This window comes from Homo sapiens, chromosome 6 (genome assembly GCF_000001405.40).
Source record: "Homo sapiens chromosome 6, GRCh38.p14 Primary Assembly".
NCBI lineage: Eukaryota > Metazoa > Chordata > Mammalia > Primates > Hominidae > Homo > Homo sapiens.
This window is the reverse complement of record NC_000006.12, coordinates 30,248,277-30,271,528: the sequence shown is the minus strand read 5'-3', so window position 1 is coordinate 30,271,528 and position 23,252 is coordinate 30,248,277. Positions and strand designations below refer to the sequence as shown.

The window sequence follows — 23,252 nt, the reverse complement described above, 5'->3', positions numbered from 1 at the left end:
CTCTGATGATTAATGATGTTGAGCACCTTTTCATATACTTCTTGGTCATTTGTATGTCTTTTTTGAAAAATGTCTATTCGGGTCTTTTGCCCATATTTGAACTGGGTTATCTGTTTTTTGCTATTAAGTTCTATGGAGTCTATAGACTTTACATATTAACCCATTAGTGAATATAAGGTTTGCAAATATTTTCTCTCATTCTGTGGTTTGCCTTTTCATTTTGTTTATTGTTGTGTTGCTGTGCAAAAACTTTAATGTAGTCTCACTTGTTTAATTTTGCTTTTTTGGCATATGTTTTTGAGGTAATACCCCCAAAAAAATCATTGCCAAGGCCAATGTCTCGGAGCTTTTCACCTGCTTTCTTCTCCAAGTTTTGTGGTTTCAGGTCTTACATTTACATCTTTAATCTATTCGGAGTTGATTTTGCATATGGTGTAAGATCGGGATGCAGTTTTATTTTTTTCCATGTGGATATCCAGTTTTTCCATCACTATATATGTAGGAGAGTATCCTTTCCCTATTATATATTATTGACACCTTTTCAAAGATTAGTTAATTGTATATGCATGGATTTATTTCTGAGCTTTCTGTTCTATTCCATTATTCTATGTGCTGTTTTTATGCCAGTACCATACTGTTTTCATTAATATAGCTTTGTAGTATCATGTTAAATCAGGAAGTGTGATGCCTCCAGCTTTGTTCTTGTTGAAGATTGCTTTAGCTATTGCAGTTCTTTTGTGGTTCCATACGACTTTTGAGATTGTCTAATTCAGTTAAAAATCCCATTGGAATTTTGATAGGGGTTACATTAAATCTGTTGATTGCTTTGGGTAGTATGGACATTTTCGCAATATGATTCTTCTGATCCAAGAACAAGGATATCTTTCCAATTATTTGTGGCTTCTTCAATTTTTTTTGTCACTGTTATGGCTTTCAGTGTGCAGATCTTTCAGCTCCTTGATCAAATTTATTCCTAATTTATTCTTTTTGATACTGTTATAACTGAGATTATTTTCTTGATTTCTTTTTCAGACAGTTTTTGGTAAGTATATAAAAGTACCACTAATTTTTGTATGCTGATTTTGTATGCTGCAACTTCACTGATTTTTTTTTTCAGTGCCAGTAGTATTTTGGTGGAGTGTTTGGGGTTTCCATATATAAGATCTTGTGATCTACAAACAGAGGCAATTTGACTTCTTTTTTTCCAGTTTAGATCCCTTTTCTTTTTCTTCCCTAATTACTCTGCCTAGAATTATCAGTACAATGTTGAATAGATGTGGCCAGAGTGGGCATCATTGTCTTGTTCCTGATCTTACAGGAAAAGTATGCAACTTTCGCCATTGAGTATGATGTTAGTTGTGAGTTTGTCATAGCCTTTATCCTGGTAAGATACATTCCTTCTATATCTAAGCCTCCCAAAGTGCTAGGATTATAGGCTTGAGCCACCGCACCTGGCCCAGAAAGTTTCTATTTCTATGTCTTCAAAGTCACTGTTTAATCTACAGCATAAAGTTTACCATTAATCTCACCTCACATCCAGTGTATTTTATGTCTGACATTTTCATCTTTGGAAGTTTGATTTTGATGTTTTATGTATCTTTCATGTCTCTGTGTAACTTTTTGAACATATGGAATACATTTACAATAACCGTTTTATGTTATTGCCTGCTAATTCTGACATCTATGTCAGTTCTAGGTAACTTTAGACTGATGGTTTTCTCTGCCTTCTGAGTTGTATTTTCTTGTTTTTATTATATGCCTGGTGATTGTTTTTATTTAATGCCAGACATGACTTTACCAGGTTAGGTGCCAGATATTTTTGCATTCTATAAGTATTCATGAGCTTTATTATTATTATTATTATTTTGAGACAGAGTTTCCCTCTTGTTGCCTGGAGTGCAATGGTGAGAACTTGGCTCACTGCAACCTCTGCCTCCTGGGTTCAAGCAATTCTCCTGTCTCAGCCTCCCGAGTAGCTGGGATTATAGGCATGCGCCACCATGCCCAGCTAATTTTGTATTTTTAGTAGAGACGGGATTTCTCCATGTTGGTCAGGCTGGTCTCGAACTCCCAACCTCAGGTGATCTGCCCACCTTGGCCTCCCAAAGTGCTAGGATTACAGGCATGAGCCACCGTGCCCGGCTGAGCTTTTTATTTTTACTGGGACAAATTAAGTTATTCAGGAGCTGTTTGATCATTTTAAGTCTTTTAATATCTTTTAGCAAAAAAACAAAAAGTGTTTAGTCCAGGGCTAATTATTTACCACTGCTGACATAAGACCCTTCAGAATACTCTATCCAATGCTCAGCAAATTATGAGGTTTTCCAGTCTGGCTAGTGGGAACAGGCATTATTTCCAGCCCTGTATATCACTGGGTACTATTCTCTGAAGTCCTTTCGGATAATTCTTTCCCTGTCTTTGGGTAGTTCCCTTATATAATATGCTGATTAACTGAAAATTTGAGGGGTACCTCCTGCAGACTTACAGTGCTTTTTATCATCAGCTGTCTTTTCTATGTGCCTTCATCTTTGCATATTCTGGATGTCCTGGAATCTCCAAGTTCACAACTCTGTCCCCTCACCTCAGTGAACCTCCTGGTTAGGGCTCTGCCTCTCTGCACTCTGCCTTGGAAACTCTGTCCAGGAAGGAAGCTGGACAACTGTAGACCTTACCTTTTCCATTCCCCTTCTCCCAGAGATCACAGTCTCTGGGATACCTGCTGTCTAGTATCTGAGTACATAGCTATTTTTTCATATATTATTTTGAGTTTGTTGTGCTTAAGGCATGAGAGTAAATCTGGTCCTTGTTATTCCATCATAATCCAAAGCAAAAGTCAATAGATCATGACTTTTCAATTTTTAATTCAACTAAGTTAAAAATTTTAAAATCAAAGTTAATTTTACTTCCTAAAAACTAACTTTAGTTCTTTTGAAAAACAGGTCATTTTTAGGTTAATACATTCTGTAGGCATTTTCAAGCTTGTCATTATTATTATTATTATTATTATTATTATTATTATTATTATTATTTTGATACAGAGTTTTGATCTTGTTGCCCAGGCTGGAGTGCAGTGGCACAATCTCGGCTTACCACAATGCCCACTTCCCAGTTTCAAGTGATTCACCTGCCTCAGCCTCCCATGTAGCGGGGATTACAGGCATGTGCCACCACGCCCAGCTAATTTTCTATTTTTAGTAGAGACGGGGTTTTTCTATGTTGGTCAGGCTGGTCTCAAACTCCCAGCCTCAGGTGATCCGCCTGCCTCAGCCTCCCAAAGTGCTGGGATAACAGGCATGAGCCACCGTGCCCAGCTCATAATTATTTTAAATGTAATACTAGTTACGTTATTTTGTTTCATAATTCAAATATTGAAGCTTTATGAGCCTCTTATCTATTGTTTCCACTGGTTCTCAATCAGACTGACTTTTCTCCACTTGTACTTTATACAGTTCATGCTCTGAGCAGCTTTTTCCTTGTAGAATTATTTGGGCAAATTCTTTGACATATGGGTTAAATATGCATTCCTATAAAGATTTTTGTTTCCTTCTTCCAATTTTTGGATCATCGCTAATCCAGGACAATTATTAATCAAAATCATGCTTTGAGGTTATTTTGGCCCAAAACGGTAAAGCTAGTTTGGGCAACAAATCTGCAGGAGTGCTGGCTGGTGGTTGTAAATTCTCAAAAACAGGTTTTGCTGACTCAAAGGCAAATTTCTTTAGAATACTCTTGTGCTGGGGGATGAAACAGATTTTCTTTTCTTACTCTGAGGAAACACATCTTTTGTTTCCCATATTTCATGGGGTACACAAAAGTGTCTCCTCTTATACTCCCTATACAAACAAGTTCTGAGAATTACCTCCTTTGCACTATACCATATGAAGCTGAGAAAACCAAAGCTAAGATTTTTCCAGATTTGGCAAACGCCCTCAAGATAAAAGCAACTTCCCTTTTTCTAAATCCTGCCCACATTTATATTTTGACCAAAAAGATTATTCCCTTTTTTATATTTCTATACTTTTGGGTGATTTTCACATTTCATCTCTTTTTTAGTTGTTTTTGGTAGAAGAGGCAGCTTTAAAACCTAGTTCACCCTATTACCGGAAATGGAATCCCCATTCGCTACTGATTAATTCCTGCCATTAATCTGACACCGAGGTAGATGCTGGAATACAAGTACATCTAGACCAATGCTACTCTCAAAGTGCAGTCTGTGGGCTAGCACTGGTCTGTGGACTGTTTGTTAGCAGCCCACAATACTATACATATAGAAATTGTGAGTGAACTATGCAAGTAAACCTCTACTTTATCTCATCCCAGACTAGTAACAGTCAAGCAAAAGATGAGCATTTATACCATGTCACTGGGTCTTCTAAAAACAGTATGGTTATCAGCTGTTCATACAATAGTTTGAGTAAAATGGCATCTAAATTAGGATGGTTTTTTAGGCTTCTGTGAGCAGTCACATTAAAACTGGTGAATGTATAGATAACTCTCCCTAGGAGCATGTGCAGATAGAACAAAATATTAAAAATTTATATAAAATGTCAGTGTATACATGGATCCTCTGATGTCTTACAGATACGGGTTTTTAATCCTAGCAAGAGACAAAGATAGGGAAAAAGGCTTTCAAGTAAACATTTTACCATCACACAATGCTTCTCCACGTATCTGTGTGTGAAAACTGGGGTAGACAAAAGCTGGACCCCAAAACAAACTGTCAAGGGAATAAGTTGAACTATGTCATTTATTATACACTCAACCAAACCCAGGTGCCTGCAATGTACTAGATAAAGTTCTAGTCTCAGAACATGATTCTAGGAATTGAAATTTGTCATTCTTTTTCCATCCCTCACCCCTCTACCTCCAGCAACTGAATTCTCTTCCTATGTTGAAGAGTCTTATTAGAAGGCAGGGACTACCTCCTTCTACAAAGGAGAAAAATTCACTTTCCCCAACATTATTGCAGTTAAACACTGCAAGAGGCTTTGGCTGCACAATTTAGATAACCACATGTGGGCTTCTAATCAGGATGAGATGACACAGAGAGGCTGGGACAGTAAATACTGCATTTTGGTAAAGATGGCTGAGGAGCAGTAGTGGAGCAGTTCTCAGGAGCAGCAGTGATAGCAGTCTTTGCCACAGGGCCCAGTGTCGGCCATCAGGGTATCAGAGGTATATGCAGTAGCATCTGTGCTCAGGAGCAGGGACAGTGGTTCCTATGAGAGATCTGAATTAGGGTGGCTGTGGATTATGTTCCTGGCTGTGTAGCTTCAAACCTGGTTCTGTGTCCAATGTGGTTTGGCTGTGTCCCCACCCAAATCTCAACTTGAATTGTATCTCCCAGAATTCCCACATGTTGTGGGAGGGACCCAGGGGGAGGTAATTGAATCATGGGGGCCAGTCTTTCCCATGCTATTCTCATGATAATGAATAAGTCTCCTGAGATCCAATGTGTTTATCAGGGGTTTTGGCATTTGCTTCTTCCTCATTTTCTCTTGCCACCACCATGTAAGAAGTGCCTTTCGCCTCCCACCATGATTCTGAGGCCTCCCCAGCCAAATGGAACTGTAAGTCCAATTAAACCTCTTTTTCTTCCCAATGTTGGGTATGTCTTTATCGGCAGTGTGAAAACGGACTATGGACTAATACAGTGCCCTTCCCCAAAATAAAATGAATACTAATACCAATATGTACACTCCTTTATGTTTAAATTAGAAAAATTTGCAAGTCATTGTTTGCTCCAAGGAGTGAGTGTGAAATCATTCTGGAGAGTAGTTTCAGAAAGCAGCATTCAGATATTTTTTCATTCTGCTGAGCTGTGAGCCACTTCTCAATCTTCCATCTGGCTATACCCCATGATAGAGAAAATGACATTTATCTCTCAGCATCCTGTCTTATAATTAAAGAAACACATCCTCCTTAAAAATAAATAAATAAATAAATAAAAAACCCAGAATAAAGCAACACTTAAATGTGGGTCTGAGACCCCTCCCCATCCTGGGCATTCTCCAACTACTGATCTCAGTGATATCAAATCTGGCTGAGCACCAGGTTTGCTGTGGGCTTGTTGTAGAATACTCAGGCCTCTCCACAGATGCCCCTGTGTCAGAATGTTGCGCATGGAGTGCAGGAATTGCTTATTAACAAGCCTCACAGGCGAGGCTGATGCATAGCCTAGGAATCCTGGTCTGTGTTCTTGCTACCAAAAGTGGGATCTGAAGACCAGCAGCATCAGCGCCAACAGCAACATTATATAAGTAGGAAATCTCATTCTCGATTCCAGATCAGCTTAGACTTAAGGTGATGTCCAGGTGATTCCTGTCCACAGGAAAGTCTAGAACTCCCTGGTCTATGTACCTTCTAGATGTGGGGTCAGGACTGTGCAGTCTGATCTAGGTGTGTTGTCTGATCAGATCCTTTAGCAACAGAGGCCTAGTGTTCAGTCCTTGTTCCTGTTCTCTTCTACAGCCAATCACTCCCTTGGAGACGTCATTCAGACTCAAGGCTTTAAATAACTGTTATATGACATCACCTCCCAAGTCTATTTCTCCTAAATGTCTCCAGATTCATCTGTCCAACTGCCAACCCGACTACCTCACTGGTATTTCTCAGCGGCATCTCAGATCCCACGTCTCCCATAGTGACTGCCTGCGACGTCCCCTCCTCTCATATGCTCCTGCTAGTCTTCTCATTCTCAGCTGATGGCAACTCTTTTTAGTCACAGTCTGACATTTTTGGTATCCTTTACTCTTCTTTCTCATACCCCAGATTTAGTCCATTAGAAAATGCGGTATAAAGTGATTGGAAATAGTAGGAATCCAATCACGTCCCACTATTTCCACTGCTCACACCCCAGTTGAAGTAACCGACATCTCCAGCCTGAAATACTGCACTCATTTCCTACAGTTTTCCCACCTGCCTTGCTCATCGCCGGCCTTTGGATTCTGTTCTCAGCAGAGCAGCTACAGTGATCCTTTTAAAAGAGAAGTTGTGGCATGTCTTTATTCTGCTTAAAACTATCTCATTCAAAATCAAAATCCTTCCCACATACTTGAGCCCTATGCCCACATGATCTGACCAAACCCCTGACCTTATCTCAGTGACTCTCTGCTCTAGCCATACCCGATCCCGTGTTCTTCCCAGAACACACAGACATGATCCTGCCCTGGTACACTGACACTGAAGGTTCCTACTCCCTAGAAAAAACTTCTTCCAGATACCCTCATGACAAATTCCTTTATGTCCTTCAAATATTTCATCAAAGGTCACCTTCCCAACAAGGCCCACGCTGACAACCCCGGCACAATAGCTACCTTCTCTGTCCCACAACCCATACTCTGATCACCTGTTCCACAGCACTTATCACCTTCTAACACTTTCCTCATTTACTCTGCATATATTAGAGTGTATGTACCGTCTGCCTCTTCCCACTGGAACACATGCTCCACAAGGCTAGAGATTTTTCTGATTTTACTTCAATGACTTTCCCCAGATGCAAAAACATTCTGTCATATGTCTGGCAGACAGCAAATGTCGGCTGAATGAATCATCACTGTAGAGCACCTCCTATTCTAAAGGCAGTATCTTTATTAACATAGCCTCAGGCCAAATGCGGTTTTGCAGCAACGACAGCACAAGGTCCCCTCACACTGACATCCAGGCCGCCTGTGCTTTTCCCAGCAGTGCTGCTTGTGTGTCCTCCCTCCCTTCCTCCCTGCATCCCTCCTTCACACCAACCCTCTGCACACTGCAGCATGCAATTATATTTCCCTCTTAGGAAAGAACAATCTTTGACTATGAATCCCAATTTCCAAACAAATATAAATCTAAGTTAGACTTTGCTTTATAGATCCATGAGTTTGCATTAGAGCCAGTGCTAGGATTACTACAACTCAGGGAAGGGAGAGTGGGTAGGAGAGCTGAGCAGAAGAGGAGTTCCACTAGAAAGTTACCTAAGATGAGAACTTGTGGCATCCCTCTTCTCTGCTAATTTCAGAATCTAGTTCCTTTAAAAAGGTTGGGGAAAAGATAGAAAATACAATCCAAGAAAGAGCCCTGGAAATAGGGTAAAAGCTGCACGGGCTTGAAAATTCATCTCTTAATACCACAGACTTCTGTGTGCAGGGGCTGCCTTCCACCTTGTGGGGTTAATGACAGGAAAAATGACTCCTGCTGCTGTCAGAGATGAGGGACACCCAGGGGAGAAAGAGATCAGAACGCAGACACCAGAACAGGAACAGGCATAGTCCTCTACAGAAACAAAGAAACCAAAAATAATGATACAAAATATTAGGGCCAGACCATAGACTGACCCAGCCCATGAAGCCCTTGCTGTCCACGGTCCTAGAGACAGGACAAGGCCCAGGCAATGTTTGTGTGCCTGTGATCACAGGTCCTGGTGAAACAAGGTTCTACTGAAGGGACACAAACAATGGAGCAGTGAAGATGACCAACCCAATGAATGACCACGTCAAATTCCATGATGAACTGAGCATAGGCTGTCCACACTCAGCTCCTCACAGCCCTCTCTCTCCTGTCTCCACCTACAACAGGCCCAGCACAGCAAAAATGGATTCTGGAAGGCTCTCAGGTTTTACTTCCTCTCTCAAGTTTTAAGAGTCTTGCTCTCCTTTCATTGAACAATCAACCCAACCTCATGGCAAGAATTTGAAAAATTCATATCCAGGTTCTTATTTTGAATAGTGGAGTAAGTGGCAGCTCAGTGAAACTTAAAAGTTAAGACATGAATAGAAATGTCCCAGCCTCACCTCTGTTGAAAAAAAACTTGACCGGGGAAGAGAGGACAGGTTAGTGTGGGGTGGTGGTCCTGGTGGCAGTGGTGGACCAGTAGCCCATTTCCTCACATTATGCTAACTGGAACACAGACACATAGATATATTCACGTGTCAAGTGCAGATATAGAAGTCAGGAGCTCTTGAAATTACAATGGTGTGTGTCAGAGGAAGGACCTGAAGAAATTTTGTATCTCTCAGTCCCACTCAAGGCAGTTGTCTCAAGCTACAGGAGAAAATAATCATAAACAAATCCAGGGCAGTCACTGTACCTGGTGACACTCTGAACAGCCTACCACATGGTCAAGATGTCTAAATCCAGAGAACCCCTCAACAGAATCATGTCCCCTCTGCCTCACCCCCACCCACTTCAGGCCCCCCCATGTCTCACCTTTACAAGTATCATGAGATGCATCAGAGTACTGAGCACAATTGCTGCCTGGGGTAGAACAAAAATAGGAACTGGTCAGAGCCCACAGGAGATGTGGCTAAAGGAGGAATCTTGTCTACACTGTCCCAACGATCTCAGGGAGCAGCCCTCTAATCCCCCATACTAACAGGCAGCCCGAGCATAGCTCCTCCTTGTTCTATCTGTGAGAAAAAAACAACCTGTGAGAGGTCAGGGAGGACATGGGGCATGAAGTCCTTAAGGAAACAGCAAATCCTGGACCCCAGGAAAATTTCCAGAACTGTGACTGCAGACCCAGGGCAGGATCAGGAAACATGAGGAAAGCAGGTGTGGTGACTGGACCAACTGCCCTCCTGAGGTCTGTCCTCAGTAGGGATCTTCCCTTGTGACCTGTGACTGCTGGGAGGTCCCCATCACCACAATCATCAAGGTGATAAATTTGTCCTTCGTTTTCACATGTGCTTCACAAAAGAGCAAGTGTTGGCACACAGGGCCCCAGGCTAGGTCGGCCTGTGTGTCGACGGTGCTTCCCAGTGATGAAGCAAGTCACAATTCTACCTGTGGCTTGAAACCCACAGTGGAACAAGAAAACCCAGACCCCACCTCTCACCCCTTCCCTACCTGAGCTTTTCTTCCTCCACATCGCAGCAGCAACCACAGCTCCAGTGACCACAGCTCCAAGGAGAAACAGGCCAGCAACGATGCCCACGATGGGGATGGTGGGCTGAGAAGACGGCTCTGGGAAAGGAGAGGGAGGTGAGGGGTTCTGACCCCCAGGCCTCAGCCCTGCCCTGCTGAAGGTCTCCTGCTTTCCCTGAGAGGAGACAACTTACACCCCTCCTTACCCCATCTCAGGGTGAGGGGCTCTGGCAGCCCCTCATGCTGCACATGGCACATGTATCTCTGCTCCTCTCCGGAAGGCACCACTACAGCCACCCACTTCTGGAAGGTTCCGTCCCCTGCAGGCCTGGTCTCCACAAGCTCCGTGTCCTGGGTCTGGTCCTCCCCATCCTGCTGCCAGGTCAGTGTGATCTCCGCAGGGTAGAGGCCCAGGGCCCAGCACCTCAGGGTGGCCTCATGGTCAGAGATGGGGTGCTGGGTCACATGTGCCTTTGGGGGATCTGAGGGGAAGAGTCAGAAAATTCAGGCACTTTGCATTCCTCATAGGACACTCCAGCAGCATACATGTGACCATCCTGAGAATGGACAGGACACCTGGGATGGGGAAGGGAGCACAGAACCCAGACACCAGCCTGGACACAGGAATCTGGGATAATCTCCTATTCCTTGGAAAGTTCGAGTCTCTGATGGGGGAGCAGGGACTTCTGGTCCTGACCTGAGTGGAGGCCAAGGCACTCAGAAGAGCTGGAATCGGAGCCACGGACACACTGAGTGTGAGGGAGAGAACAAGGCCTGAGAGGAAAATTCCTGGTGCCCCAGGCTGCTGCAGGGGTCAAAGGGGACCACGGATCAGTATTCCAGGGACTGTCTTCTCCTCCATTTCCTCAGGGACTTCATCCCTTAATTGTCCCAGAGAGCAGGGTGGGCTCTCAGAGTTACTCTCTGGTACAGGATCTGGAAACCCAGGATTCTTCCCATTCAGGACCAGTGGGAGGGCGATATTCTAGCATTGGTCCCATTTTCCTACTCTCCTGGTGGGAGGCCAGCCCGGGAAATCTACAGGAAATGAGGGAGGCGCCCCCGTGGCCCCTGGTACCCGCGTGCTGCAGCGTCTCCTTCCCGTTCTCCAGGTGTCTGCGGAGCCACTCCATGCACTTGCCCTCAGGTAGGCCCTGACCTGCTCTGAGTATTTGTCCGCTTCCCACTTGTGCTGGGAGATCTGAGCCGCTGTGTTCGCGGCGGTCCAGGAGTGCAGGTCCTCGTTCAGGGCGATGTAATCCTTGCCATCGTAGGCGAACTGTTCATACCTGCGGAGGAGGCGCCTGTCGGGCCCACGTCGCAGCCATGCTTCCTCTGGATGGTGTGAGAACCATGGCCTCGCCCCCGCCGTCAGCCCCGAACACCGAGCCCCGCTCCCGCCCCGACCAACCCGCGGGGATTTTGGCCTAAACTGAAATTAAACCGGGTAAAGGCGCCCGAGTTTCTTCCCTGGTCGAGGGTCTGGGCAGGTCCCGCAGCCTCGGGGTGGATCTCAGACCGGAGACTCAGACCCGGGACCTGGGCTGTCCGTGGGGGATGGGGAGGGATCGTGACCTGCGCCCCGGGCCAGGGTCACTCACCGGCCTCGCTCTGGTTGTAATAGCGGAGCAGGGTCCGCAGGTTCACTCGGTAAATCTGCGCGTGGCCCTTGGCGTTCCGTGTCTCCTGGTCCCAATACTCCAGCCCCTCCTGCTCCACCCACGGCGCCCGCCGCTCCATCCTCGGACTCACGGAGTCGCTGTCGAACCGCACGAACTCTGTGTCGTCCACGTAGCCCACGGCGATGAACCGGGGCTCCCCGCGGCCGGGCTGGGACACTGCGGTGCTGAAATACCTCAAGGAGTGGGAGCCTGGAGGCGAGGAGAGGCTGAGACCCGCCCGACCCTCCTCCCGGCGCGGCTCCCCGGGCCGGGCGGGCCACTCGCTTCTCCCCGCAGAGGCCCTTTCCCTCCCGACCCCGCACTCACCGGCCCAGGTCTCGGTCAGGGCCAGGGCCCCCAAGAGCAGCAGGAGGAGGGTTCGGGGAGCCATGACCCCCATCCTTGGCGTTTGGGGAGAATCTGAGTGCGGGTGGTTGCGCCGGGACTGTAGTGCCGGGATCGTAGTGCCGGGATCGCGGCGAAGCTGATTGGCTTCTCTAAAAACCCGGCACCCAATGGGAGTGAGAAGTGGGATTATGTCACAAGTATCCAGGAAGAAGGTTGGGAGAACCAAAACTCAGGGGAGTGGGCAATCCCCAACCCTGTGACTCCCCAGTGCAGTCATCGCTCTTGGGGCCTGAGACCCAGAGAGCCACGCCTGGGGCCTGGGACTTTGTCCTGACCTCTCTTTTCCTACGCCAGCCTCTTTGTCACACTGACTGCCTGAGTCCTGGTCAAGGATCTGTCTGTGGAAACTAGGGAGAGAACCCCCAGGCTGGGCCCAGCCCCTTCCCATTCACGCTCATCCTGGAATCCTCGTCCCTGAACTGGACTTCCGACTCCTTACCTCTCCCCTTGGACTATCCTAGAAGAAAACTCACCCCAGGGAACTTTGATGCCAGAGAGTGAGCTCGCCTTGGGAATGGCGGTGTAGAGAAAGGGGTTTTCTCTTTAAACCTGGTGAAGTTGTGGCTGAAGGCACAAGATAGAGATTCTCATAGTGACCAGGTTTTTTTGTTTGTTTGTTTATTAATACAGTGGTTAGCACAATCTAACCCCTGAATGATCAGGATTCTAATCTGTAAAAGACCTGATTTTGCCTGCTTCATATATAAGTGTATCCAAACAGCATTGCAATTCGAGTCACAAAGCTTCTAAGTTTACTTTCCCAGACTGTGGATCCATGACTCTGGGTTGTTGCATTTAAAATTATCTTCATTCCATAGCCCGAGTTTCCCTGTGTGAGTCCAGGACATCTCAATACAAAGAAGCAGGATTTGTTACTGTATATTGTAACAAGGAGCCTCAAAATTGCACTGAAGTCAAAATGCCTATCATCAATGCTTAAGCACTGCTTGTTTTTATGAATTATGCACATCTAAGCAGTGTGCACATTTTATTTGCATACTTGGTATTTTTTTACTCTTATGTTTTTAATCATGAGGAGGCCATTAGTTTTTGGCAGTCCCACAAAATGTATTAAATACCGAATGCATGTCAAGAACCCCCTGCTAGGCTCCTCCACTGCTTTAGAGTCCTTTCCCTTGCTCCTTTTCCTCACTTCCTGTCTCTCCAGCCCTTCTCTCTGCCCCTCTCATCCCTCACACCCTCCCCTCCCCTTAGTCCCTGCCACCCTCTCACCCCTGAATTGTGGCACTAACACTGTCCCTCACTTCCTGCCCATGTCTGTTCTCCCCACAGTGCTCAGCAGTTCTGCTAATGTGACTCAGGTCGTGTCATTTCTTCACTTACAATGGTTGGGTTTTGGTCTACCATTTTGCTGTATGTTTTCAATTTGTCTCGTATCTTTTTGTTTCTATTCCTCCTTTCCTACTTTCTTATGTGTTAAGTAAACATTTTTTAGTTTATGGTTTTAATTCTAGTGGCTTTTAGGTATATTTCTTTACACTAATTTTTTATTGTTGTAAGAATTGAAACCCGATTCCTTGACTTTTCATGGTGAAGTTCAGGTAATATTAAGCTGCATCCAGCAAAATAAAGGACACTTGTAAGAGTGTAGTTTCATGTAACCTACCATTGTGCTATTCTTGTTGTATATATTACATCAATATACTTTATAAACTCAATAATACAGTAATACTTTTTGTTTTAAGCATTCATATTGTCATTAAGAAAATGAGTGTGTATGTGATCTGTGTATGTGCATAATTTCTGTTGTTAATTATCCCTTTCTATATATCTAGGTCACCATCTAGTATCATTTCCCTTCAGCCTGAAGAACTTCCTTCAAAATTATACGTAGTACAAGATCCCTAGGAAATGAATTTTCTGATTTGGATTATGTAAAAGTGTCTTCATTTTTGCCTTCTTCCCCCACCTTTTTTTTTCCTAATTGGGGCGTTTGTGTATAATAAAACTCACCAGTTTTAGCTACAATGTTTTATGAATATTGGTAATTATTTATAGTCATGTAACTACCACATTGCCCAGATAGAGGACAGTTTCTTTTCCCTAAAAACTTTCCTTATGCCCCTTTTCTATTTAATCCTTGCCTCCCACCCTCACCCCCTTCTCTTCACTCAACCACTGCTGTGCTTTCTGTTACTGTAATAATGAAATTTCTAGAATTTCATGGACATGCAATCATATGTTATGTAGTCCTTTGGTCTCTCACTTGTCATAACAATATTTGAGATTTTTCCATGTAGTTAAGAGTAATAATATTTCATTCATTTTTGTCACTGAGTAGCTGCTGAGTATTGTTGGAATTCCAGTTTATTCGTTGGTTTCTCTATTCTCCAGCTGATAAACGTGGGTTATTTCCGGTTAGGGTCTGTAATTAATGAAACCACTATAAATAACTGACTACAAGTCTTTGCATGGCCTTAAATTTTCATTTCCTTTGGATAAATAAATATTTGTGGAATTGTTGGGTGATATGGTAAATGGATGGGTAGCTGTTTAAGAAATTGCCATATTATTTTACAAACTGACTGCAACTTTTTTTTGCGTTCCTACCAACAATATAAGAGATTTTTATTTTTTCCATATTCATACCAGTATTTAGAATTATCATATGTCTTTTGAACTTTACTTATTCTAGGTGATGTGTGATGGTTTCTCATTGTGGTTTTAACTTGCACTTCTTTGATGACTAGTATTGTTGCTATCTTGTCATGTTTGTCTAAGAGACTTATTACATATCTTTTGTGAACAATTTTGCAAATTTAATTATTACTTCCAGAGACTTTTTCAGAATTCCTTATTGTTTTCTACATATGTAATTAAGCTGAGAAAGAAAGATTTTATTTCTTCCTTTCCTATCATTGTTTTTTTTCTTTTAAAAATTATTTATATTTAGTAAAGACAGGGGTCTAACTATGTTGCTCAAGCTAGTCTCAAACTCTTGAACTAAAGTGATCCTCCCACCTTGGCCTCCCAAAGTGCTGAGATTACAGGCATGAGGCACCACACTTGGCCCTTTTATTGGTCTTTTATTTCATTTTCTTGCCATATTGCACTAGTTAGGATGCTCGTAAGGTGTTTTAAACAAAAATGAGGAGAGCCACATCTTTGCTTTGTTGCTAATCTTAGGAAGTAAGCATCTGGCCTTTCATAATTGAATATGAGGGTAGCTGTAAACTTTTCGTGGGTGTCCTTAACCACATTGAAGATATTCCTTTCGATTTTGTTTGCTGAGCTATTTTGTCATGAAATGGTCTTGATTTTGCAAGTGCTTTTTCTGCATTGACTATAATAATTGTGCAACATTTGTTCTTTGTTCTATTAATTGGGTGAATTGTATTGTTTAATTTTCAGATGTTAAACCAACCTTACTTTCCCTTTAAAAAAACCAATATGGCATGGCATATTATTCATTTTATGTATATCTTAATTGGATAACGTTTTGTATTGAATTGTGAGTCTGTGTTCAAGAGGAATATTTGTTCTTGATTCTTTTTCTTGTGATGTTCTTGTCTGGGATTTTTATTTGGGTAATGCTGGTGATATGGTTTGGCTCTATGTCCCCACCCAAATATTATCTTGAATTGTACTCCCATAATTCCCATGTGTTGTGGGAGGGACCCAGGGGACCCAGTGGGAGATAATTTGAATCATGGGGTTGGTTTCCCCCATACTGTTCTCGTGGTAGTGAATAAGTCTCATGAGATCTGATGGTTTTATCAGGGGTTTCTGCTTTTGCATCTTCCTCATTTTCTCTTGTTACCGCCATGTAAGAAGTGCCTTTCACCTCCCGCCATGATTCTGAGGCCTCCCCAACCATGTGGAATTCTAAGTCCAGTTAAACCTCTTTTTCATCTCAGTCTTGGGTATTTCTTTATGAGCAGCATGAAAACGCACTAATACAGTAAATTAGTACCAGTAGAGTGGGTGCTACTGAAAAGACACCCGAAAATGTGGAATTGACTTTGGAACTGGGTATTAGGCAGAGGTTGGAACAGTTTGGAGGGCTCAGAACAAGACAGAAAAATGTGGGAAAGTTTGGAACCTCCTAAAGACTTGTTGAATGCCTTTGACAAAAATGCTGATGGTGATATGAACAATAAGGTCCAGGCTGAGGTGGTCTCAGATGGAGATGAGGAACTTGTTGGGAACTGGAGCAAAGGTGACTCTTGTTACGTTTTAGCAAAGAGACTGGTGGCATTTTGCCCCTGCCCTAGAGATCTGTGGCACTCTGAACTTGAGAGAGATGATTTAGGGTATCTGGCAGATAAAATTTCTAAGCAGCAAAGCATTTAAAATGTGACTTGGGTGCTGTTAAAAGCATTCCATTTTAAAAGGGAAACAGAGGATAAAAGTTCAGAAAATTTACAGCCTGACGATGCAATAGAAAGAAAAACCAATTTTTTTGAGGAGAAACTCAAGCTGGCTGCAGAAATTTGCGTAAGTAACAAAGAGCCAAATGTTGATCCCCCAAGACAATGGGGAAAATGTCTCCAGGGCATGCCATAGGTCTTCATGGCAGCCCCTCCCATCACAGACCCAGAAGCACAGGAGGAAAAAATGGTCTCCTGGTCCAGGCCCAGGGTTCCCATGCTGTGTGCAGCTTAGGGACTTGGTGCCCTGGGTCCCAACTGCTCCCACGGCTGCTAAAAGGGGCCAAGCTTGGTACAGCTTGGCCCATGGCTCCAGAGGGTGCAAGCTTTAAGCCTTGACAGCTTCCACATGGTTTTGAGCCTGCAGGTGCACAGAAGTCAAGAATGGAGGTTTGGGAACCTCCACCTAGATTTCAGAAGATGTATGGAAATGCTAAGATGCCCAGGCAAAAGTTTGCTGCAGGGGCAGGGCCCTCACGGAGAACCTCTGCTAGAGCAGTGTGGAGGGGAAATAGGGGGCTGGAGCCCCCACACAGAGTTCCTATTAGGGCACTGCCCAGTGGAGCTGTGAGAAGAGGGCCACGGTGCTCCAAATCTCAGAATGGTAGATTGACCAACAGCTTGCACTGTGCACCTGGAAAAGCCAGATACTCACGCCTGACTGTGAAAGCTGGCTGCATAGATTAAATTGAAAGTTGTTGCCTCCTTTAATTTCTAAAAGGTATGTGTAAAATTGATGTTATTTCCAAATTATTTGTTAGATACATTTCATCAATGAAGCCTTCTGGACCTGGAGTTTCCTATATGAGAAGGATTTTGATTACACATTCAATTTCTACAATCAATATATGACTGGCCACATTTTCTATCTCTTCTCAGGTCAGTTTTCATAAGTTTTCTCTCTCAAGGAAATTGTTCATTTCATTTGCTTGTCAAACTTATTGACATGAGATTATCAATATTTCTTTTTGAGATCTAGAGAGTGTGCACTGATGTTCGTTTTTTCTTGACATTGTTAATGTGCATCTTTTTGTCTTGATCAGTCTAGCTAGAAATTTATAAAGTGTACTGATTTTTCCCCATAGAACCAATATTTGGGTTCATTAATTTTCTCTGTCTTTCTGCTTCATTTTTTCCATTTAATTATTATTTTCTTCCTTCTCCATGCTTTGGTTTAATTTGTTTTTCTTTGTTTCTTATAGCAGAAGCTAATTTACTAATTTGAGACCTACCTTCTTTCTTAATATAGGCATTTAAGGGTATTGGTTTTTTCTCTAGTACTACTTCAGCTGCATCCCATACATTTGATATGTATGTTTCATTATCCTTCAGAATACAGAAGACTTTCTAATTTCTCTAGATTTCCTCTTTGAATAAATTGTCATTTAGAATTTTGATGTTAATTTCCAATACTTGGTAGTATTTTCATCATCATCTGTCTTAGTCAATCTGGGCAGTTATAAAAGAATACCATAGACTATGTGGCTTGCAAACAACAGAAATCTATTTCTCACAATTCTGGAGGCTGGAAAGTCAAAGATCAAGGCCTGGGAAGAGTCCATGTATGGTAAGGGCTGCTTCCTGATTCATGGATGTTGCTTTTCCTTGGTGTCCTCACATGGTGGAAGGGGCAAGGAGCTCTCTGGGGTCCCTTTTATAAGGGCATTCATTTCATTAATGAGGGTTTTGCCTTCATTGCATGATCACTTCCTAATGGCTCCACCTCCAAACACCATCACATTAGAGATTAGGTTTCAATTATGAGTTTAAGGATGACAAAAGCATTCAGTCCCACAGGATCATCTTATTGTTACAGATTTCTTTTTTTTAAGTTATTTTTTTTAATGTCTATATATTTTTATTATACTTTAAGTTCTAGGGTACATGTGCACAATGTGCAGGTTTGTTACATATGTATACATGTGCCATGTTGGTGTGCTGCAAACATTAACTCGTCATTTACATGAGGTATATCTCCTAGTGCTATCCCTCCGCCCTCCCCCCACCCCACAACAGGCCCCGGTGTGTGATATTCCCCTTCCTGTGTCCAGGTGTTCTCATTGTTCAATTCCCACCTGTGAGTGAGACCATGCGTTGTTTGGTTTTTTGTCCTTGGGATAGTTTGCTGAGAATAATGGTTTCCAGCTTCATCTGTGTCCCTACAAAGGACATGAACTCATCCTTTTTTATGGCTGCGTAGTATTCCATGGTGTATATGTGCCACATTTTCTTGATCCAGTCTATCATTGATGGACATTTGGGTCGGTTCCAAGTCTTTGCTATTGTGAATAGCGCCACAATAAACATACGTGTGCATGTGTCTTTATAGCAGCATGACTTATAATCCTTTGGGTATATACCCAGTAATGGGATGGCTGGGTCATATGGTATTCCTAGTTCTAGATCCCTGAGGAATCGCCACACTGTCTTCCACAATGTTTGAACTAGTTTACAGTCCCACCAACAGTGTAAGTGTTCCTATTTCTCCACATCCTCTCCAGCACCTGTTGTTTCCTGACTTTTTAATGATCATGATTCTAACTGGTGTGAGATGGTATCTCATTGTGGTTTTGATTTCCTTTTCTCTGATGGCCAGTGATGATGAGCATGTTTTCATGTGTCTGTTGGCTGCATAAATGTCTTCTTTTGAGAAGTGCCTGTTGATATCTTTGCCCATTTGTTGATGGGGTTGTTTGTTTTTTCTTGTAAATTTGTTTGAGTTCCTTGTAGATTCTGGATATTAGCCCTTTGTCAGATGAGTAGATTGAAAAAATTTTCTCCCATTCTGTAGGTTGCCTGTTCACTCTGATGGTAGTTTCTTTTGCTGTGCAGAAGCTCTTCAGTTTAATTAGATCCCATTTGTCAATTTTGGCTTTTGTTGCCATTGCTTTTGGTGTTTTAGTCATGAAGTCCTTGCCCATGCCAATGTCCTGAATGGTATTGCCTAGGTTTTCTTCTAGGGTTTTTATGGTTTCAGGTCTAACATTTAAGTCTTTAATCCGTCTTGAATTAATTTTTGTATAAGGTGTAAGGAAGGGATCCAGTTTCAGCTTTCTACATATGGCTAGCCAGTTTTCCCAGCACCATTTATTAAATAGGGAATCCTTTCCTCATTTCTTGTTTTTGTCAGGTTTGTCAAAGATCAGATGGTTGTAGATGTGTGGTATTATTTCTGAGGGCTCAATTCTGTTCCATTGGTCTATATCTCTGTTTTGGTACCAGTACAATGCTGTTTTGGTTACTGTAGCCTTGTAGCATAGTTTGAAGTCAGGTAGCGTGATGCCTCCAGCTTTGTTCTTTTGGCTTAGGATTGACTTGGCGATGCAGGCTCTTTTTTGGTTCCATATGAACTTTAAAGTAGTTTTTTCCAGTTCTATGAAGAAAGTCATTGGTAGCTTGATGGGGATGGCATTGAATCTATAAATTAGCTTGGGCAGTATGGCCATTTTCACGATATTGATTCTTCCTACCCATGAGCATGGAATGTTCTTCCATTTGTTTGTATCCTTTTTTATTTCGTTGAGCAGTGGTTTGTAGTTCTCCTTGAAGAAGTCCTTCACATCCCTTGTAAGTTGGATTCCTAGGTGTTTTTTTCTCTTTGAAACAATTGTGAATGAGTTCACTCATGATTTGGCTCTCTGTCTTTTATTGGTGTATGAGAATGCTTGTGATTTTTGCACATTGATTTTGTATCCTGAGACTTTGCCGAAGTTGCTTAGCAGCTTAAGGAGATTTTGGGCTGAGACAACGGGGTTTTCTAGGTATACAATCATGCCATCTGCAAACAGAGACAATCTGACTTCCTCTTTTCCTAATTGAATACCCTTTATTTCCTTCTCCTGCCTGATTGCCCTGGCCAGAACTTCCAACACTATGTTGAATAGGAGTGGTGAGAGAGGGCATCCCTGTCTTGTGCCCGTTTTCAAAGGGAATGCTTCCAGTTTTTGCCCATTCAGTATGATATTGGCTGCGGGTTTGTCATAAATAGCTCTTATTATTTTGAGATACGTCCCATCAATACCTAATTTATTGAGAGTTTTTAGCATGAAGGGCTGTTGAATTTTGTCAAAGGCCTTTTCTACATCTATTGAGATAATCATGTGGTTTTTGTCTTTGGTTCTGTTTATATGCTGGATTATGTTTATTGATTCGCGTATGTTGAGCCAGCCTTGCATCCCAGGGATGAAGCCCACCTGATCATGGTGGATAAGCTTTTTGATGTGCTGCTGGATTCGGTTTGCCAGTATTTTATTGAGGATTTTTGTGTCGATGTTCATCAGGGATATTGGTCTAAAATTCTTTTTTTTGTTGTGTCTCTGCCAGGCTTTGGTATCAGGATGATACTGGCCTCATAAAATGAGTTAGGGAGGATTCCCTCTTTTTCTATTGATTGGAATAGTTTCAGAAGGAATGGTACCAGTTCCTCCTTGTACCTCTGGTAGAATTCGGCTGTGAATCCATCTGGTCCTGGACTCTTTTGGTTGGTAAGCTATTGATTATTGCCACAATTTCAGATCCTGTTATTGGTCTATTCAGAGATTCAACTTCTTCCTGGTTTAGTCTTGGGAGAGTGTATGTGTCCAGGAATTTATCCATTTCTTCTAGATTTTCTAGTTTATTTGCGTAGAGGTGTTTGTAGTATTCTCTGATACTAGTTTGTATTTCTGTGGGATCGGTGGTGATATCCCCTTTATCATTTTTTATTGCGTCTATTTGATTCTTCTCTCTTTTTTTCTTTATTAGTCTTGCTAGCGGTCTATCAATTTTGTTGATCCTTTCAAAAAACCAGCTCCTGGATTCATTAATTTTTTGAAGGGTTTTTTTGTGTCTCTATTTCCTTCAGTTCTGCTCTGATTTTAGTTATTTCTTGCCTTCTGCTAGCTTTTGAATGTGTTTGCTCTTGCTTTTCTAGTTCCTTTAATTGTGATGTTAGGGTGTCAATTTTGGATCTTTCCTGCTTTCTCTTGTGGGCATTTAGTGCTATAAATTTCCCTCTACACACTGCTTTGAATGTGTCCCAGAGATTCTGGTATGTTGTGTCTTTGTTCTCGTTGGTTTCAAAGAACATCTTTATTTCTGCCTTCATTTCGTTATGTACCAAGTAGTCATTCAGGAGCAGGTTGTTCAGTTTCCATGTAGTTGAGTGGTTCTGAGTGAGATTCTTAATCCTGAGTTCTAGTTTGATTGCACTGTGGTCTGAGAGATAGTTTGTTATAATTTCTGTTCTTTTACATTTGCTGAGGAGAGCTTTACTTCCAAGTATGTGGTCAATTTTGGAATAGGTGTGGTGTGGTGCTGAAAAAAATGTATATTCTGTTGATTTGGGGTGGAGAGTTCTGTAGATGTCTATTAGGTACGCTTGGTGCAGAGCTGAGTTCAATTCCTGGGTATCCTTGTTGACTTTCTGTCTTGTTGATCTGTCTAATGTTGACAGTGGGGTGTTAAAGTCTCCCATTATTAATGTGTGGGAGTCTAAGTCTCTTTGTAGGTCACTCAGGACTTGCTTTATGAATCTGGGTGCTCCTGTATTGGGTGCATATATATTTAGGATAGTTAGCTCTTCTTGTTGAATTGATCCCTTTACCATTATGTAATGGCCTTCTTTGTCTCTTTTGATCTTTGTTGGTTTAAAGTCTGTTTTATCAGAGACTAGGATTGCAACCCCTGCTTTTTTTTGTTTTCCATTGGCTTGGTAGATCTTCCTCCATCCTTTTATTTTGAGCCTATGTGTGTCTCTGCCCGTGAGATGGGTTTCCTGAATACAGCATACTGATGAGTCTTGACTCTTGATCCAATTTGCCAGTCTGTGTCTTTTAATTGGAGCATTTAGTCCATTTACATTTAAAGTTAATATTGTTATGTGTGAATTTGATCCTGTCATTATGATGTTAGCTGGTTATTTTGCTCGTTAGTTGATGCAGTTTCTTCCTAGTCTCGATGGTCTTTACATTTTGGCATGATTTTGCAGCGGCTGGTACTGGTTGTTCCTTTCCATATTTAGTGCTTCCTTCAGGAGCTCTTTTAGGGCAGGCCTGGTGGTGACAAAATCTCTCAGCGTTTGCTTGTCTCTAAAGGATTTTATTTCTCCTTCACTTATGAAGCTTAGTTTGGCTGGATATGAAATTCTGGGTTGAAAATTCTTTTCTTTAAGAATGTTGAATATTGGCCCCCACCCTCTTCTGGCTTGTAGAGTTTCTGCCGAGAGATCCGCTGTTAGTCTGATCGGCTTCCCTTTGAGGGTAACCCGACCTTTCTCTCTGGCTGCCCTTAACATTTTTTCCTTCATTTCAACTTTGGTGAATCTGACAATTATGTGTCTTGGAGTTGCTCTTCTCGAGGAGTATCTTTGTGGCGTTCTCTGTATTTCCTCAATCTGAATGTTGGCCTGCCTTGCTAGACTGGGGAAGTTCTCCTGGATAATATCCTGCAGAGTGTTTTCCAGCTTGTTTCCATTCTCCCCGTCACTTTCAGGTACACCAATCAGACGTAGATTTGGTCTTTTCACATAGTCCCATATTTCTTGGAGGCTTTGCTCGTTTCTTTTTATTCTTTTTTCTCTAAACTTCCCTTCTCGCTTCATTTCATTCATTTCATCTTCCATCGCTGATACCCTTTCTTCCAGTTGATCGCATCGGCTCCTGAGGCTTCTGCATTCTTCACGTAGTTCTCGAGCCTTGGTTTTCAGCTCCATCAGCTCCTTCAAGCACTTCTCTGTATTGGTTATTCTAGTTATGCATTCTTCTAAATTTTTTTCGAAGTTTTCAACTTCTTTGCCTTTCGTTTGAATGTCCTCCCGTAGCTCGGAATAATTTGATCGTCTGAAGCCTTCTTCTCTCAGCTCGTCAAAGTCATTCTCTGTCCAGGTTTGTTCCGTTGCTGGTGAGGAACTGCATTCCTTTGGAGGAGGAGAGGCGCTCTGCTTTTTAGATTTTCCAGTTTTTCTGCTCTG

At 42.6% G+C, this 23,252-nt stretch overlaps 1 long non-coding RNA gene and 1 pseudogene across 2 annotated transcripts in view, besides 1 other annotated feature; one reads left to right on the top strand and one right to left on the bottom strand.

The window, feature by feature from the left end:
- Window positions 1-23,252, top strand: part of HCG17 (HLA complex group 17) — a 92,096-nt gene that overhangs the window by 54,606 nt on the left and 14,238 nt on the right. The window contains 1 exon segment of the long non-coding RNA NR_052012.1: window positions 17,065-17,182. This is a non-coding gene — a long non-coding RNA (HLA complex group 17).
- On the bottom strand, window positions 4,578-11,967 carry HLA-L (major histocompatibility complex, class I, L (pseudogene); annotated as a pseudogene). The gene is made up of 7 exons (NR_027822.1): window positions 11,832-11,967; window positions 11,445-11,602; window positions 10,922-11,132; window positions 10,050-10,325; window positions 9,826-9,942; window positions 9,187-9,234; window positions 4,578-8,253 (listed from the first exon to the last, which is right to left on the bottom strand). The product of NR_027822.1 is annotated as a major histocompatibility complex, class I, L (pseudogene) (transcript).
- Window positions 5,111-5,311: a silencer, noted in NCBI's record as "peak5750 fragment used in MPRA reporter construct". NCBI's record gives its function as "represses an SCP1 promoter by STARR-seq MPRAs in K562 erythroleukemia cells {active_cell/tissue: K562}" and the evidence as "EXISTENCE:reporter gene assay evidence [ECO:0000049][PMID:32103011]".